The following is a 19511-nucleotide window of genomic DNA, read 5'->3' on the forward strand; positions in this document are numbered from 1 at the left end:
AAAAACAAACAAAAAAAATGCTTCCGTTGATCACAACTGCCCTCTTTAAGTTATATATTAGATTATCTAAAATGAAGTACTGGAGTCATTCAACACAACCTACATCACATGCTAACTTTCTGAGACACACTTTTCTGGGTCTCACCTAGCATGAAACATGATATGTAGGACTCATCTAACACTACAGAAAGAAGGACCTTAAAATTTCCTAGGCCACACTTCTTTACCAGGTGACTGAAGAGCAGAAAATGAGGTCATCTGCCCCACGTTAGCCAGTAAGAGGCAAAAATAGAACCAGTGTGAAATCAGTAATAAAAAGAAAGTCACAGTTGCTGCTTGTGAGCCTGGACTCATGATTCCAATAGTAAAAGCAACTTTTTCAAGTTAGACGTTTCAATGAAAATGCTCTCTAGTTACATGGGGGAAAGTTTACTCACCAAGAAAAAAAGTTTGAAAAACTTTATTTACAGTGTTTGTTTATTTTCTGTTTCATCCCTTCTCTCCACACAACGTAGACAAAGTACTTGAACTTTTGGTATAAATATGCAGTAGAGACTAATACAGATATCCACCTGACTCTTAATGATATCCGAATTTTCTATTGCCTACATTTGAGGGTCACATGTCTGAGGGTCACATATCTGAAGATCACATGTCATAGATCACATAATGGCAGTCAAAAGCCTCTCTCAGCCATAAAAGACATTTACACATAGGCCATGGAATGGAGGCTTCCCTTCTGACTCAGAGCTGTCCCTTCTTCCTTTTTCTCTGCTTGTACATAACAATGGTCTAGAAATGCCAAGAAATACATAGAATGCCATAAGCGAAGTGAGAAGGGAACCTCAGATATGGCCCAGGAAAGCCAGAAAAAAGGCTTTAGAAAAGGAGAAAACACTTGCGATGGCTATTAAAAGATGAGCAGAATGTCCAATTATTTTTGTGTTGAAGGCAGGGATTGGAAAGGGAAGAGATTATGGAGTTTCTATTCATACTGAACAGGAAAGGTAAATACTTGAGACCACAAATATCCACATTCTATTCAATTAAGCAAATATTTAACATATAAACATATATGTATAACACATATATAACTATATATATGTATGGTGTATATATATGATATCTATATGGTATCTATATAGTACATGCAAGATTCTGTCTAGTTGATAAGGAGTAAAAAAATAAACTAGATGGCATCCTGCTCCTTTGCATTTTGGCAGTTGAAATATAAATGGCTGACGTTCTATGAGAGTCAAATATCTAATATTTCAAATGTTGAAATATCACCATGTTTGTTTAATCCCCATATTTACATATACTGCTATTATTATTCCTTTTTAAGATGATGCCAACTCATTGTAAATGAATTTCATGATAAATTCCTCCCTTACTAGGTTCCCAAAGTTAAAAACACTCAGATGGGACATTCTAGTAACTTTTTTATAACAACTCCTTGTCTTGAAAAACACTTTCAAAGAAATGTTAGTATTTTACCACTCCATAGGAATCAGTAACAAGGCGAGATTCTCCCAAGAATATTCCAACAGTCCTTGAAAAACTAAGACTGTCACAAAACCTGAGCATCTGGCAACTCTGCCACCATGAAGTATCCATATGGAAGAGACCAAAATGTGTCAAAGTACCCAAAATGATTTTGGATAGTGTAGAAGATAGAATAAATAATTCAGTATCGTCAACACTTTCAACAGCAGGTAGTGGATATGCTACCTGCTTCTATAATGTGCCAGAATGTAACATAAGTGTGTGAGGCTGTGTGTGGATGTGTGTGTGAGAAAGAAAGGCAGAGAGAATATCAGCATACATGAGGCTAAAAACTATTTTTATACAGAAATATTCCTAGGTAGTTCGCTGTAGGGACATCAGATCTTTACAAGCATAGGTTTATTGATATAAAGAAGGAAAAAAATTGAGCCAATGAAAACTTATTTTTAAGATAAACATTGCAACAGATACATTACTTCAGAGTCAATGAAAAAAGCCTGCATTAACAACATTATGTTTGAAATTGTATGTGCAAAAAAAGTCAGAAAATCCAAAATTATGGTTCCCTCAGCAACTATAACTGTGTCCTCATGCATATAGAGGTATTGTGCATTACTGTAATGATGATACATTTCAGCCTTAATATCAGTTTATGCAATGTGACTGAATTAGGATTCTTCTGGGAACTATAACTTTGAATTTCTGGACTTTTTTGAATGTAAAATCTTAACCATAAAATTACATTAATATAGGGTGGGGTTTTTGCATTTTACTTTCTGGCATTTAAAATAACAATAAAGAGTGAATGGCTGACAACATTAAAGTAGCAAAAGATTGGTTGATTTGCAATAATACAAAAAGGATTTGATACAGAGCTTAATGCCTTAAAATAGGGATGCACAAACTGCAGATCATAAAAAATAATCCCTTTGAAGATTAATCAAGACAAGAACAGGTGAGACATCTTTCTAGGAGTAAGTAAATTTACTTGTTCTATAAAATTTTAGTTTCTGATTGGAAGATACTTTCATTTAACTATATTTTAACATGGATATAAATAAAAATGCCTGAAATAATTCTTTCAACACATATTCCTGCATGTTATCAAGAAAAAAAATAGTGTTAAAACGGTCCCCCATATTTTCAATAGTGTAAAGCTGGTTGGGAGCCACTTTTCCTTCTTGTACTTGCAACATGGTAGGACATAAACTGTAAGATGAAACTGCATTACCGTCACCAACCACTTTCTCATCATGGGGCCGAGGCTGATTCAAATATGGTTCACAAATGGAAAGAAACAGATACACAGTGATCAAGTTCAACTAAAGAAATAGTTAAGTGTATTTTATGCCGTTACTTAGGTATTATACAAGCATGGAATAGCTGAGATGAAGTAAAGAACAGTGAGATAGTGAGTTCAGAAGAGAAGAGCCATAATCACATGTGTTTGAGGAATATTACAAATACTTTCATGGAGGTGGCATTTTCAATAGGCCAGACTGGATCTGTAGTTTTTCAACAAAGAGAAGACATTCCAGACAGAGAGCTTACAGAAATAAAAGTGGTCAATACTCAATTTGAAAACAAAAAGGTTGGCTGAAGGGGTTGGCTCATGAAAAAGTTGTAATAAGAAAAGCTGCAAATGCAGATTAAGTATATATTGTAGAGGACCTTGAATGCAAGGCTTACAAGTGAGCCAATGTGTACACAGTGCGGGGATGCTGAAGTTTCAGGCTATATTTTTTTAGGAGTAGAGAAACAAAAGGCAAAAATAACAAAACAAAAACAAAAAAATAAAAATTCCATAACAGTACACGTAAAGACTAAAGAAAAAGGGACCAGTTATGAGATGATTAGAGCAATACAGACAAGTTGCAAAGAAAGTCTGAAGAAATGTAGTAACATTTCTCCTCTAAAGGAGGAGAAGGCACTAAAAATGTACCTTCAAGATTTTGAAATGTAATGACTATCGGAAAGATCATGCCATCATAAAAATATAAAATCAAGGACAGTGTCTCATGCAAGAAAAAAGAGTGACTGAACACTATTTAGTAAATCTTAAGTTTAAGGTGTCAGGGTCTGTACAAACAAGCATTTCCTACAAAAATGTTGAGATATGGTCCTAAAGTTACTGATTACAGCAATAAAAATAATATTATCCTTTATACTTATATAAGCTTGTACCTTTCACTGTCTTTTTATCCTTCTAGTGTTGGTAATTACATCAGTTGTACAAATAAGAAAACTGAGGCTCAGAAAGGATGACTTATCAAATCTCACATGAGTATTACATGGCAAAGTGAGACTGGAGACAGATTTTGGAACTTTTGGTATAGAAGTCACTTTGAAGTTGTAAGATTATCAAGAAAATGTGGAAAGAAAACATGGTAACTTATGCGCAGAACCAGAGGGAAAACTTAAGACTGTAACGCAGTGATCATTCAATACCTCAGTAGATGATCAAGATGCCTAACAAAGCATTACAGGGCCTGGCAGTCAACAGGTATTCAATGAATAGCTGTCACATCAACGGTTAGAGGGGAGACAGCACCAAATCGTGTCTTTCTATCTGTGATGGACAGAGGAAATAGCTCTCAGACTAATTTAAGGCAGCCACTTTCTCAAATGAATTCTTACACACAACTGGTACGTAAAATACACAAAAACACCTTTGAGTAAAGCAGGAATAGATGGTCTGGAAATTCACCTAACTCAACCTTTTTTCACTTCCTTTGACAACATGTCCTTTGTATATATTAATATATAGAAATCTCTGAGACAACTCCACGCAACCCAAGAAAATGCTGGAAATCCTCTATGTTAGTCAGTCATAAGAGTGATAATAATTTGGGACATCTGAGTATGGCACGAAAGAAAAGGTAACATGTGGTCTGAAGAGATCATACTGAAATCGAGTACCAGCCTGTCTACACTTGATGGTTAAACAGACACTCCATTGTCATGTTCTACTAGCTGGGATCCTTCATTACTTCTTTCTTGTATTTATTTATGACCAAAAGCTTCCTATGATTATGACTCATATCATCAGATCACTTGGACATCACAACTGTATACAATGGAAATGATATATTTAATCGAGTCAATTCCCTGTGGCTGTCTTGTTCCAGTACCCTGTTGCAGAACCTCCCCACCCACTTACATCTTGTAAGAAACTGGCCATGCCACATTATTCCACATAGAAGCCAGAGAGGAAAAGAACAGCATAATGTCAGAAGGTTAAAATTAAATGTGAATGCCCAAATTTCATATCTTACCAGAAAGAAGTTTTGTGATCTAATCATGTTACTGATAGGACCAGTTACATGTATGACTAGGGAGGAAAGGATATGAATGTCCCTACAGTTGAAAAAAACGAAAGAATGATTGAGTCCTTTCTAACAGTAGACTTGACAATGTTGTTCCATTTTAATATAAATTGTAAATGAAAAATCCAGTCCAAATGGAGAGTAAAAACAGTAATCATTATTTTAAAATCCAGCCCAAGTAAGTAGTAAAAAACAGTAATCACTATAAGATTTTATTATGGCAATACCTGTGTACAAATATGAAGAAATATGTAAAGAAAATCACAGGCTAATTCTTGGATAATTTATTCAAGGAGTAAGTTATGAAAATTCATCAATAAGTAGAATAAATGGGGTAAGGCAAAGAGAGCTTACCATAGATTCTATTTATGCAACTACAGTTTTAATTTAGTTTGCATTGATGGACTCTTATTTCATGTGTTACAGTGATGTTAAACCTAGACACAACATGCCTTGCATCTCAAGTTTTCATAGTACAAAGACATTTGGACGTGGCATAGACAGTTGCTCCTTTTGCTTCAAGTGATAAATGGTTCAGCTGTAAAAAGGATCTGAATAGACCTAACAAAAATCAGTGAGTGAATTTAGAAGAGTAACTACATGCATTAAAATTTTTATTTTGCTCTCCTGATTTTTACACGGTAATTTGCCTTCAGGAGAAACCATGCTGACACTGTCCTGGGTGTTTTCAGGCCTTTGCAAATGAGGCTGAGACCTGGTTCCAGGAACGAATATACTTCAAAGGAAACAGTACCACCTACAACACCTGTCATCAAAAAAGACAGTGGGCCAATCAAAAAACCTAGGTCAAAAGAGCATAACTTGGGCAAGATGCTGGTTAAATTCAATGAATAAAGCAGAAGAGTAAAGATTTCAAGGAGAAGTCTTGCTCAGAATTTAGGAAGTGACTCTGGAAAATCTTGTACAGATGTCAAGCTTGACTGGGATTATGCAGCGGACAGAACTGGCAGGAACTAAGGAAGAAGTATCAAAGCCCCAGAAGGTGCCTATAGAATAAAGCAGAATATATCAGGGGAAAAAAACAAAGAGAGAAAAATCTGGCCAAGTTAGCTAAAGGTGGCAGTTGAAAGGTGAGGAGAGATAAGGGAAAGAGCAGCAAAGTAAAGGCCTAGGGCTGATCTCATGGCAACTGGCAACAAGAGAGACCTAGGGGTGAATGTCAGCTGGAAGAACGTAGGAGCCCAAACAGCTGTGCGGACGAATTCCAGGTCTTGGATGGATAAAACTATAAGTCACATCAACGAGCAGGTGTGCATCTGAAGCTAAGGATGTGTCTATCAGCTGACTCAGGTAAGAATGGCTCAGGTACTGTGCAAGACTGAGTTTGCAGATAGGGGGCATCAGTGGACCTGACTGTGCCCAGCTAGGGAAAGCCAAAGGCACAGAAACAAAAAGAGGGTGAAGAGACAGCAGTAAATAGAATAACACAAAACTGTTTCTGAATTATAATATGTGTACTTGGTAGAGACTACAAAACAAACCCGGAATATGAAAATGTGGATTTATCCAAAAGACAAAATTTTATTGTATTTTTACCCAAAAAAGATCCCTAATAATATTAACAATAAATTTAAAACTTCCTAAAGTACAAAATTATAAATATACTATTATTAAAGCAATGTAAGACTAGATACATAGGAAAAGACCATAAGGAAGTAAAACAGGTTATTACAGATTCTGGGTTTATGAATTTTCATATTTTATCTCCAAAGTTCTATTATACAATTATATATTACTTTTAAAATTTAAAAAATAAAAAATATTAACAATAAAACTTGTAATAGTAAGCATGCCTATTACCTTTTGAATTATTTGATTTAAAGTAATTTCTACTTATAAAATATTCTTAGGTAAAGAGCAAGGTATGTACATAGGCTTTTACCTATTGAAGTCCTTATAAAATCTCCTAAAGTTAGTAATCCCTACATCTAATTTATCCATAACTATAAGGTACAGTTTAAACTAAGGAGATCATCTCAAGTTTTCTTTTTATAAAAATCCCTTTATTTGTAAATACATAAGGAATATATGCTAACATTGCCTTTTCACAGTAGTAGGAAAAGGTTAAATCAAAGGAATCATTGTGGTGTGCGTGCAATGCAAATTATATGGCAAACAGTGCCAGAGACTGGTTTTAAAGGGCAAAAAATCATGTCATCTCCATATTTGTTTAAAACCCCACAATGCATAGATACACTATTTAACAACTGCATTCATTAATGTTTAAACTAGAACTGTGGTTAAGGTCATGTACTCCAAAGGTGGGCCACCTGGGTGTACCATGGACTATGAAGGCAGACTACCCAGGTCTACCATGGATTCTAAGGGAAGACTGCCTGCTTTGCTAACTACTAGCTATGCGATTTAGGGAAAGTTTGTTTGTTTGTTTGTTTGTTTGAGACAGAGTATTGCTCTGTCACCAGGCTGGAGTGCAGTGACACAATCTGGGCTCACTGCACCTCCGCCTCCTGAGTTCAAGCGATTCTCCTGCCTCAGCCACCCAAGTAGCTGGGACCACAGGTGTGCGCCACTATGCCTGGCTAATTTTTGTATTTTTATTAGAGATGGGGGTTTCACCATATTGGCCAGGCTGGTCTCGAACTCATGACCTCAGGTGATCCAACCACCTCTGCCTCCCAAAGTGCTGGGATTACAGCTGTGAGCCACTGCACCTGGCCAAGTTTTGTTTTTTGCATTTTTTGTTTTTGGTCTTCTGTTTGTTTCTATTTCCTCATGTGATAAATGGGCCTATGAGAGTACTCCTCTTATAGGGTGGTGTGAGATGTGTAAGGTGCTTAGACCACTGCTTGGTACATTGTAGGCATGATGTAAGCATTTTGAGACTGTTTACCATTATTATTATTAAATTGTTTTGGCAATGAAATCCAAATTAAATGATGAATCAAATTTCAAAATGTTGCAATATCTGAGAATTGTTTTATTTGCCATTCTATAGTTTCTACTCTTACTATTCTTGTTTTCATCATACAAAATGTTACTTATCAAAATTATTAGAAAATTCTTCTACACATGAACAGTATGTGACTTAATTACTCCAGATCTTTACGCAATAACCATTTTCCAGAGCCACTGCACTTAAGTAATTCCTATACCTTAGAATCTACTGAAAGAACATTCTGTCAGTCTTTTTTCCAAACACAGTGCAGTGTGCAATGATCCAATTTGGTTAAATTTTGGGTTGTTGGCAATTGTAAGCTCATTTGGAAGTAATTTTTCTCCCTAGATCACTTGTGCTTGAGCTGAGAGAAGAAAAAATGAAATTATTATTATTGCCAAAATTATACAGACTGCCTTTGAAGTCCTGAACTGACTACAGTGTCCTGTATACACTAGTCACCCAATTCTAAGAATCCAAATAGATGATCTATCAATTCAGTGCAAATGATATTTTGATATGCTGCTTTGGTGCTACAATTAAATTTTTTGGAAAAACACATGATGTTTTAAAAAGACTTTGGTTGGGTTCATAGCTCACTTTGTTAAAGAAGGTTCCTGTTCAAAATTAAGCAAGTTAGGGAAGGCTGGCCAGGTGCGGTGGCTCACGACTGTAATCCCAGCACTTTGGTAGGCCGAGGCGGGTGGATCACGAGGTCAGGAGATTGAGACCATACTGGCCAACATGATGAAACACTATCTCTACTAAAAATACAAACATTAGCCAGGCATGGTAGCATATGCCTGTAGTCCCAGCTACTCAGGAGGCTGAGGCTGGAGAATCGCTTGAACCCAGGAGGCAGAGGTTGCACTGAACCAAGATCGCGCCACTGCACTCTCGCTCCGGGTGACAGAGTGAGACTCCGTCTCAAAAAAATAAATAAATAAATATAAATAAATAAATAAATAAATAGGCAAGGCTAAGCAGAGTTCATTTCAAATTTTGGTTCTTGGGTCAAGTTTTCTCAGTACATACTTGGCATATTCACTACCATTATGAACATAATTCTGACACTAAAGAGATGCTCACTCTTAGGCTTTCAGTATTATTTACATGCTCATGGCTCCTGTATCTGGATTTCAAACCTAGACTTCTCACCCAACCTTCAGACATTCCCTGTTGGAAACCTTCACTTGGATAGCCTACTGGCAGCTTAAATACAAAAGGCCTAAAACAGAATTCTTCATCTAATTCAATAAATATGCTCTTATGCTGAATTTATTGTTGTAGCTGCAGGCACAACCACTTACCAAACCAGAAACCTGAGAGTCATCTCCTTTGACTCACTCTCCCTGAATTTCCATTAAGAACCTATTAATGAATCCTGTGCACTTTACTTCCTAAATATTTCTCAAATATGTCCCTTCAACGTCATCCTTATTCATAAACTTTTACATAGTGAAGGCTGGACTGCTGCAAAAAACACCTAACTAATCTTATTTCAAAGTCTACCTTCCCAACAAGTTTATCCCACATCTAGCTACAGAATCATGCATCTAGAATGCAGATCTGGCCAGGTCACTCTCCTGCATAAAACCAAGTCCCTTAAGTATGTGAAATGTCAACCTGTGCTGGTCTCCACCCAGCTCTACAAGCTCATCTCCTGCCTCATCTATTTCACAATTGGAGCTTCAAGTATAATGAAATGACTATGACTATGATTCCAATATGGTATACACACCAGGTTGCCTTTTATCTCCATGCTACTGCTATCTAATTTGCATTGTATGCCACTATTCCATGCTCCCTTCCCTCAAATCAACCCAACCACAAACTTGTCTGCATCATTTAAGAATCGGTTGTCATTACCCCTGCAAGAAGGCTTTCCAGGTCCCTCCACTAACATCCAAGTTGGATTACATATTCTCTTGGGTGTCCCCATATCTTTGTACTTACCCTACTAGTATACATAAACACTTATTGTCCATTTTCAATTAATCGACAAAGGTATTGAAGGTAGAGCATTATCTTACTCACTCATCTTTGTAACCCCAATACCTGGCTCTTAACAATTAATATGTTGAGCAAATGAATGCATATACACACACATACACATATATATATGCAATCTTTGGCAACTTAACTTTGGTCACATTGTCATTTATCAAATCCCAAAATAAAAATGAATATAAATTCATACCAGTAAAATATACCCCACATTATTGTGATAGTATTTGCTTGACAGAATAGAAAACCTAAGAATTTTCCATTATTTCCTGTTCTATTTATTCATGTTAAAGTCAAACTGTTGATTTTGTCTTCTATTTCAATAATGACTCTAACATTCTTCAGACTCCACAAATGAGTTCCTAGTTCCCACATATCTGAACCAAATCCCCTGTTATTCTCTTCACTCTATAACCTATGCTTCAGCCACACCAGACTCTCACCAATGCCCCAAGCACATGTGACTGTGCCTCTTCCTCTGCATGAAATACCACTCCATCCTATTCTCTGGGGAAACTCATAGTACCAAAAAACTTCAGGCCTCCTGCCCTGGGTACCATGAGTCATTTTTTCAAGTTTCTACTTTCATGAATCTTTGTACATTATCTCTGCTTAGCATTCCCTTTGTGTTAAAGTAGGTCTCCCATTCAATTCAGTATGCTCTCATTCCCTTTTCCATGCAAAATGCCTGTGACATAGATGTTTGATAAGTATTAATTTAATGTATTATAGATTGATGCTTTTATATTCCTGTTCCCATCCAACTATCAGAAGGGTTTGTCTTTAGCCACACACTCTTCTCCTTAAACAAATATTCCTTATGAAAACTCAATCATCCTCACAGCTTCATGAAAAATCTTCAAATGTAGATCTCCAGCTTCTATGCATCACCCGAATACTAGTCCTCTATTTCCAGTGGCCAACCAGAAGTAACTACTTGGATGCCATGCTATTACTTTTAACCCAGTACACTAATTGATACGGTTTGGCTCCCTGTCCCCACCCAAATCTCACCTTGAATTGTAATCTTCATAATCCCCACATGTCAAGGGTGGGACCAGGTGGAGGTAATTGAATCACGGGGATGGTTTCCCCCATGCTGTTCTCGTGATAATGAGTGAGTCCAAGGAGATCTGATGGTTTTATGAGTATCTGGCCATTTCCTCTGCTTGCACTTACTCCTTCCTGCCGCCCTGTGAAGAAGGTGACTGTTTCTCCTTTGCCTTCTGCCATAATTGTAAGTTTCCTGAGGTCTCCCTAGCAATGTGGAACTGTGAGTCAATTATACTGCTTTCCCTTCTAAATTACCCAGCCTTCGGTATTTCTTCATAGCAGTGTGAGAACAGACTAATACACTAATATTGGACAAATTCATTTTCTTCCCTTTTCAACTTCACCCTCTGCCATATGTTAGAGATAAGTCATGCAAATTTTTACTATAGCAAAAATGCTAAAGTTTGTCTTTTCTCTTACCCTCCAACCCTGGATTTTTATCAGCTCGGGCCACAAAGATTGAGTATCTTCTTAAAAAACTTTCCTGTCTTCAACTCCTTTCTAACATATTGCCTTCATGATAATTTTACCAAAACTGCTATGATTAATGCCAAATCCTTACGGAAACTAACTGGCTCTAAACAAAATGACAATGGAGACTAATGTAGGTTAATCAAAAGCAAAACAATGGGTAATTCTAATCCTCCATATCTTCCAAATTACGGCCTGTTTAATGGGTAGAACTCTGGGTTTCTTAGACTTCAGTCTACTTATTTCATCATCTAAACTGATGGAGTTACTTTACGAGAAATGTCTTGGCCCTGCCAGCAGATCCTTCTGCAGCTCAAGGATATAAGCCAGACTCTTTACTTTTATAAAACAACACCATCTTTGGCAACTAGAGAATTGGGAGCTATAGCATATGGATCTCCTTTCAGTCAACACAGAATACTGATACTTCAGATATGTGTTAATGACCTGAAGATTATTTTCTCTAATATGTACTAAAATATTTATAGATGAAATGATAGAAGATTTGCTTCAAAATAATCCGGTAGAGGGGGGTTAAAATGGGACGAGGATACAGAAGAAATAAGATTGGTCATAGGTTGATAATTACTGAAGATAAATAATCAGTACATAGAGACTACGATACTTGTATATGTTTGAAATTTTTACAATAAAAATTTAAATAAATTTGAAATCAAGTACTGTAAAAGGTTATTAGTATTTACCATGAATAATGGACCCTTGGCTGATTATTTTCTTTTTTCTCTATACATCCTTTTTAGTTGTCTAAAATGAGCAAGAATTACTTTAAGAAAGTTATAAAATGTTAAATTATTTTTAAAAACTATCCCATCTGTACATCTTAGGCTTCTTGTTAACTCACATGTGAAAGGAATATCTTAGTTATTCATCCCTTAGAATCACTGAAACTTCATCATTAAGTAAAAAAACCATTAAGCTATGTATCTAACATTATTTTATTATCGTTCTCCGTAGAATTATTTTTATTAAAAAAATAGGCTAGTCTCACTTTTTACTGAGGGATGATCCATGAGCCAACATAATGTAAACCTTATTTTTTTAAAGAAATGCTATAAAAAATATCCATTAGGTTCAATGTCCCTTATAATAAAGATATACCTAGCAGTTTCCTCTTAGAACTTTAGTTTTCAATGTAAGCTACACATTATAATCACCTGAGAGATTTAGAAAATCCTAATGCCTAAGGCACACCCAAGACCATTTAATGGTCCAAGCATCAGTAGTTCTTAAAGCTCCCAAGAGATATCTATGTGCAGCCATGGTTGAGAGGCATAGTCTTAGAACTATATAAATCAGAGACAATTTGTTTATTTTCTACTATGGAAATTTTCAAGTATATACAAAAACTGACAGCATAATATACACAACTTCAACATCTATCAATAGTTTTGCCAAAGTTGGTTCACCTGTCTCTCCCACTTAATTAAAAAATATTTTTTTGCTGTAATATTTTAAAGCAAATTCCAGATATCAGATCATTTCATCTTTCAGTACTTCAGTATCTAAATATTACCTCTTATGGATCATGGATTTAATTCTTTTTTATTAGACAATGAGAGGCTTTGCTTAGCTTTTTTATTGTTATTCAAATGGATTTTCCTTACATTAGAATTTCTAAAATATCTGTGTTCTTATACTTCTGTTATAACTTGGATTTCTTATTTTTGTTTTTGCTTCAATGGTCTTCAGTTATATTGTGTATGTACATTTTAATAAAAAATAGATCTTTGATTGCATGGGTTTTAAATGTATCCTTATATTACTGTCCTCTCAAGATTATATACAATATCTACTCTGCCCATTACACTATATCAAATCCCTCAGCTTGACTTCATTAATAATGTGTACTTTTCCTTCTTATAAAAGTAATGTATTTTCATTATAGGATAATTTGGAAATACAGAAATAGAAAAGAAAAAATCACTTATAATTCTACAAATGATATGCAACAATTTGTTCATTTTGAATATCTTACCCCAGTTTTTTTCCTATACATGCAAACATATTTTATACAACTGAGATTGTACTATATACATTATTTTCATAATATAATTTTGATTTAACACTTTTGTAAGTAAATTTCCAAGTCTTTAAATTTTTACAAACATAATATTTAAGGTCTGCAGAATTAATATTTCACTATATGAATATACTATCATTTACAAAACTAGTCCCTTATTATTGGCCAGTGGTGTTACTTTCCAATTACCATATATAATGCTTTATTAATAATTCTAAACATTCCTTTGTCAATAACTGTGAAGAGTCTGAGATTCTGCCCTACTTACAAGCAAGTTAGCCTGCCACAGTGTCCTGGATGCTGGCAGCAGACATAACATTTCAAGGTCAAAGACAAAGCACTTATTACTCAGAACACAGTAAGCAGCATGAGCATCATTTTCATGCTAGTTCCCCTTGGTCTCCAAGGCCCACAGAGGTGATGTGGAGTGGCCCAGATGGATGATGCAAAGGGAGTGGGTTTGCATCATAGCTGAGGAACCCTGCGCTCTAAGAAACTCAGATCTTTTATAGTAGCTGCAAGCAAACTTGCCAAACCTTTACTCCAAAGGGAGATATTATCTGTAGTATACTGGATAGCAAATAAATGGGCTATCTGACAGGAAGGGAGATACTATCTCTATATTCCAATGTTGTGTGTTACCCAAACCTCCTTGAGCAAGTAGTCCAGAACAAAAAGGTGTTTGATGCCTCTCTGCTTGCGAGACATACAGATTCAAGAGACCTATGGATAACTATCTCCCTACATTCTTTAGGACAAATACATACAGTGTGATTACTGAGATTCTTGATACAATATAGTACCAAATTACGTCCTAGAAAGACTGAACTACTTGATATTCACATTGATAACATATGAATGCTTCTGCCTCCCTTTCAAAAGTTTCCATGACTTCAACTTTCCTTAACTTCATCTGTCCTACTGTCCTCCCAAAATATAGCACAGTAACTAGAGGAAGAAAACACAGTGACAGAGACTGAGGCTGAAAGGGCTGAATTAAATAGCAGTACCACTGTTCACTAGCTGTGAGACCTGGAGGCAGTCACTCAACAAATTTTCATCCCAGTTTCTTCATCTTGAAAGTGAAGATAATCACCTTATTAATTAATATAATAATGAAATGTGCTGATATATGAAGAGAGCTTAAAACCATGTCTGGCAAATAGTAAATGCTATGTAACTATATGCTATTATTATCACGTCTGGCTGCTCCTCTATGTCCAACCCAATCCTACCCATACTTCAAAGCTATGTCAGATACCACAGCTTCAATGAAGACAGACTTCTCCTGCTCCGAAATCCCAATTGTACTCTGGACCTTTTACCTTTTCATTATATACTGTGTAAAGAGGTCTGAAATGACCATATGTCTTTTGTTTCTAATGCTTCACAACTTTCACCTCCGTGACAGTATTAAAAGGCTTTCTAGCATCTACAAAAATTTTTTAACTTCCTTGATCCTACTGGTGTCAAAATAATGCTGCCCAAATTCAAATTACTGTAAATGAAAATCTTTATATTTTAATTATGTGAAAAACTGAAGTGATTTTTTAAGAAGTAAATCAATAATTTTCTGTGGGTTGATAAGAGTCAATGAAACAGTACTGGACATTTCAATATTTGGAGGAAATATTTTTTAACAAACTGTAAATTATAAATTATACACCAAAAGAGTAGAAACCACAGACTCTCAAACCCCTAGAGCAATAACGGAATTCACCATGATAAAGGTAGCACCAAACTGATCCAGGACTAAAATAAATAAAATAGAAGCCCAAATAATTTATGGAACGAAGCCATTAGACTAGAATAATAACCAGGTTACAAATAGAGAAAACTTGGAATTTCCTAAAATACACACATGTACTTCAAAAAAATATCTTCACTGTAGTGGGCATTTTGAAAATCAGAAGTATAGTTATTTTTGACACAAAATGAAAATTATGCTGTAATTCTAAAAAATACGCTTCACATTTTATGTGTTCTCAGAGTTTTCAAAGTATTTTCATGACATAATATGAAATTAAATATTATAAAAATCTTATGACATAAAAAGTATAGATATTTTTTGTTCCACTTACAGATAAGGAAATTGGAGTTGAGATCCGCCATAGCAAAATAAAAATATTTTTGTTGCTAAAACATAGCAGTATTTAGATTTTTTAAAAGCATGCTAAATATTATTTTAAATAATTTAAATTGCTTAAATTGAATTTAAATAATTTGTTTCAATTATTAAGATTTAAACGACTTAAATATTTTAACATACTACTCTCAATTAAATATCAAACCTCAAATAACTATCTGGATAAAAGATTTCTTAAGGGCCAGGCACGGAAGTTCACACCCATAATCTCAACACTTTGGGAGGCTGAGATGGGCAGATCACTTGAGCCCAGGAGTTTGAGACCAGCCTGGCCAACATGGCAAAACCCTGTATCTACTAAAAATACAAAAAAAATTAGCAGGGCATAGTGGCACACACCTATTATCCCAGCTACTCAGATGGCTGAGGCAAGAGAATTGCTTTAACCTGGGAGCCGTAAGTTGCAGTGAGGCAAGATTGTGCCACTACACTCCAGCCTGGGTGACAGAACAAGACTCTGTCAAAAAAAAAAAAAAAAAAAAAAAGACTTCTTAAGAAGCTTAACTTAGGAAGCTCACTGCCCTTTTAGAAAGTTATTTTATAAAGAAAAACACAGTAGATAAAATTATTCAAAAATACTAAGATAAATATTTTCACTTGATTCTAATTGCCACCACCTACTAGTAGAGATGCCTCACCTAAGATTATGCCTTACCTAAGATATATGCCTCACCTAAGATTATGACCAAGGAAGAATCACAGAATTAATGAAGGTAGTGGCGTTGCGGGGTGGGGGGTAACCTAATGCTCCAAATGAAGCCAAATGAAGCTTCTTGCTTCTTTTCAACTCTATCTTCTTGTGTTTTTTTTCTTCTTTCAGTCAAAAGCCCCATTTTACTTTTGTTTTTGAGTAATATTTTTGCTAGACACAGAATTCTAGGTGGATAGCTTTTTTCTTTCAGCGTTTTGAAGGTGTTGCTTCACTACCCCTTAAAATGTTTCCTAAGAGAAATCTGTTGCTGTGCTTAACTCTGTTCTTCTGGTGAATGTTTTCTTCTTATTTTAAAAAATCCAGCTGTTTTTAAGATACTCTCCTCATCTCTGGTGTAAAAAAGAAACCCTAAGGTAGCCCCATGCTTCCATCTCCTTGTATTCATGCCCTGTGTAATCCCTCCCTTTGAGTGTGGACAAGAATAGGTCCTTGCTTCTAAACTGTAGAATACAGAAAAGGTGACAAAATGTATGTGATTACATTACATAAGATTATATCACCTTGCCAAGCAAGGAGATTCTCTCCCTTTGCTGGCTTTGAGGATGTAGGCAGACATATTGGAAAGGTTCACGTGGCAAGAAATGAGGGTGGCCTCTGGGCAACAACAAGTCAGAAACTAAAGCCTTTAGTCCAACAGCCCATAAAGAACAACATGCTACTAACAACCGTGTGAGCTTGACAGCAAATTCCTCCCCAACTGACCCTCAGTTAAGACCACAGCCCTGACATAATCATGATGTTTCTCCAGTAGGCTGGTGGGAACAGGTACTATTTCTGGCCTTTTGTGAGCAATGGGCATGATTTCCTTTGTTACAATTTGGATATGGTTTATTTGACTCCACTAAGTCTCACATTGATATCTGATCCCCAATGTTGGATGGGGGTTCTCGTGAGAGGTGTTTGGATTGTGTGGCAAATCCTTCATGAATGGCACCAAGCTACTCGCATGGGAGTGAAGGAGTTTTCACTCTTAGTTCTCACAAGAACTGGCTGTTGAAAGAGCCTGTCACCTTCCTCCCCTCCTTCTCTTGCTCTTCTCTCAACATGTGATCTCCATAGTCCAGCTCACTTCACTTTTCACCATGAGTGGAAGGAACCCAAGTCCCTCACCAGAAGCAGATGTTGGGGGAATACTTCTTATACTGCCTTCAGAACCATGACCCAAATAAAACCCTTTTATACAGAAATTACCCAGCCTCAGGTATACCTTAATAGCAACACTAACAAAGATACCTTCAAACCTTCTTAGATGGTTCTTTCTCCAGCATGTGTTAATCTGAATAATCAGGTGAAACCCTCTACAGACATCCAGAATTCTCTCTTGGAGCAGCTTTCTTCATTCCAGTATTCTGTCCTTTATGTACCCAGATGCTTACCTCCATCTCCGCAAATCAAGAGGTCTGCCAGACCACTCTGGATTCCTCCTCCTTGCACCAAGATCTAGAAACTATTTCAAGGATTTAAGCTGGGGATGTCATAGCCTCCCCCCTCATTTGGTTCCCTTCTGTCAGGAATCGATGTCCCTCATTGCTAAATGTCCAGTGTCTCGAAAATCATATTTTCATAGATTTTGTCCATTTTTTTTGTCTGTTTCAGATGAAAATGTAAATTCAGTTCCTGTTACTTCATATTGGTTGGAACCAGAAGGCTTCCAACAAATGCATTTAACCACTGATATGCTTTGGCTGTGTCCCTACCCAAATTTCATCTTCAATTGTAGCTCCTATAATCCCCACGTGTTGTGGGAGGGACCCAGTGGGAGGTAACCAAATCACTGGGGCAGGATTTTCCCATGCTATTCTCATGACAGTGAATAAGTCTCATGAGATCTGATGGTCTTATAAAGGGCAGTTCCCTAACACACACTCTCTTGCCTGGTGCCATGTAAGGCGTGTCTTTACTCCTCTTCCTTCACCTTCCGTCATGATTATGTGGCCTCCCCAGCCATGTGGAACTGTGAGTCCATTAAACCTCTTTTTCTTTATAAATTACCCAGTCTCAGGTATTTCTTCATAGGAGTATGAAAATGGACTAATACAACCACAGCAGTAAAACCAAAAACAGTGAGGGAATCAGGATAATAAAAGACAACATAAAAGGTATTTGCTGTGACCATGTAGATATAATCCAACTGGGTAGGGGACCAGGAAGTAAAATAAATTTTGGAGACAGAGTAGACTTACCTATGGCATTAACCATATAATATAGGTGGGAGTCTTTGGATACAATTTAAAACTGAACAAATCAAGGAAGAGAAGTATACTCATATTTAAAGAGAATACAGGTAAGAAAAAAATATATGAAAGATAATGTTGATTAAAATAAGATGGCAGCAAAGGAACAAAGAACAAGAAAGTGAGAACACATTAATCTTACCACTCTGTTCATTAGATAGAACTAATAGATACTACCTCAAGCAATAGAGAACCTAGGTTGTAACTATAGAAGTAATCAATAGGGGGAAAAAGTAAACCTTCCTAACATCAAAAGAACTATACTTAGACACACAAAAGTCTGCCAAAAAAAATTTTTTTACATGCCTATCTCAGAGGAAGTAGAGAATCTAAAACAGTAGAGTTCCATAACAGATACAGAGAATGCTTCTGCCCACAAAGGGAACTACCATCACCACCACTATCCCTACCCTCCAAATAAGGCACTAAATTCACATGGCATCACAAAGGAATTCTACCAAATGTTTAAAGGGCAGATAAGTCTCCTTCCTTCCTTCCTTTCTATATAAAGATATATATAGAGAGATATTTATCTGTATCTATTTATCTATATATATATATTTACAGAGAGAGAGAGAGAGAGAGACTTGCTCTGTCATCCATGCTGGAGTGCAGTGGCAGTGATCTCGGCTCACTGCAACCTCCACCTCCTGGGTTCAAGCAATTCTCCTGCCTCAGCCTCCCAAGTAGCTGGGATCACAGAGGCCCACCACCATGTTCGGCTAGTTTTTGCATTTTTAGCAGAAACGTGGTTTCACCAGGTTGGCCAGGCTGGTCTTGGAACTCCTGACCTCAAGTGATCCACCTGCCTCAGCTCTGAAAGTGCTGAGATTACAGGTGTGAGCCACCATGCTCGGCCTAGATAAGTACATTTCTACTTAAACTGGTATAGTGAAATATGGGGTGATGAGAACTTCAATATTATTTTATTGTTATAAAGTAAGTATAACAAGACCAATACACAACAAGATAATCTCACTTATAATTAGATGCCAAAATCTTAAATAAATATTATCAAACAGAATCTAGCAGGAAATGAAAACAGAGTAAGACATCATAAACAAGTTATCCTTTTCTCAAAAATACAATTACGGTTCA

General features: G+C 36.2%; 1 protein-coding gene across 65 annotated transcripts in view; it reads right to left on the bottom strand.

Annotated features, from left to right (window-relative positions):
- QTMAN (queuosine-tRNA mannosyltransferase) overlaps positions 1–19511 on the bottom strand; it is a 395002-nt gene that overhangs the window by 218625 nt on the left and 156866 nt on the right. The gene's annotated exons all lie outside the window — the stretch shown is intronic.

This window comes from Homo sapiens, chromosome 2 (assembly GCF_000001405.40).
Source record: "Homo sapiens chromosome 2, GRCh38.p14 Primary Assembly".
Taxonomy (NCBI): domain Eukaryota; kingdom Metazoa; phylum Chordata; class Mammalia; order Primates; family Hominidae; genus Homo; species Homo sapiens.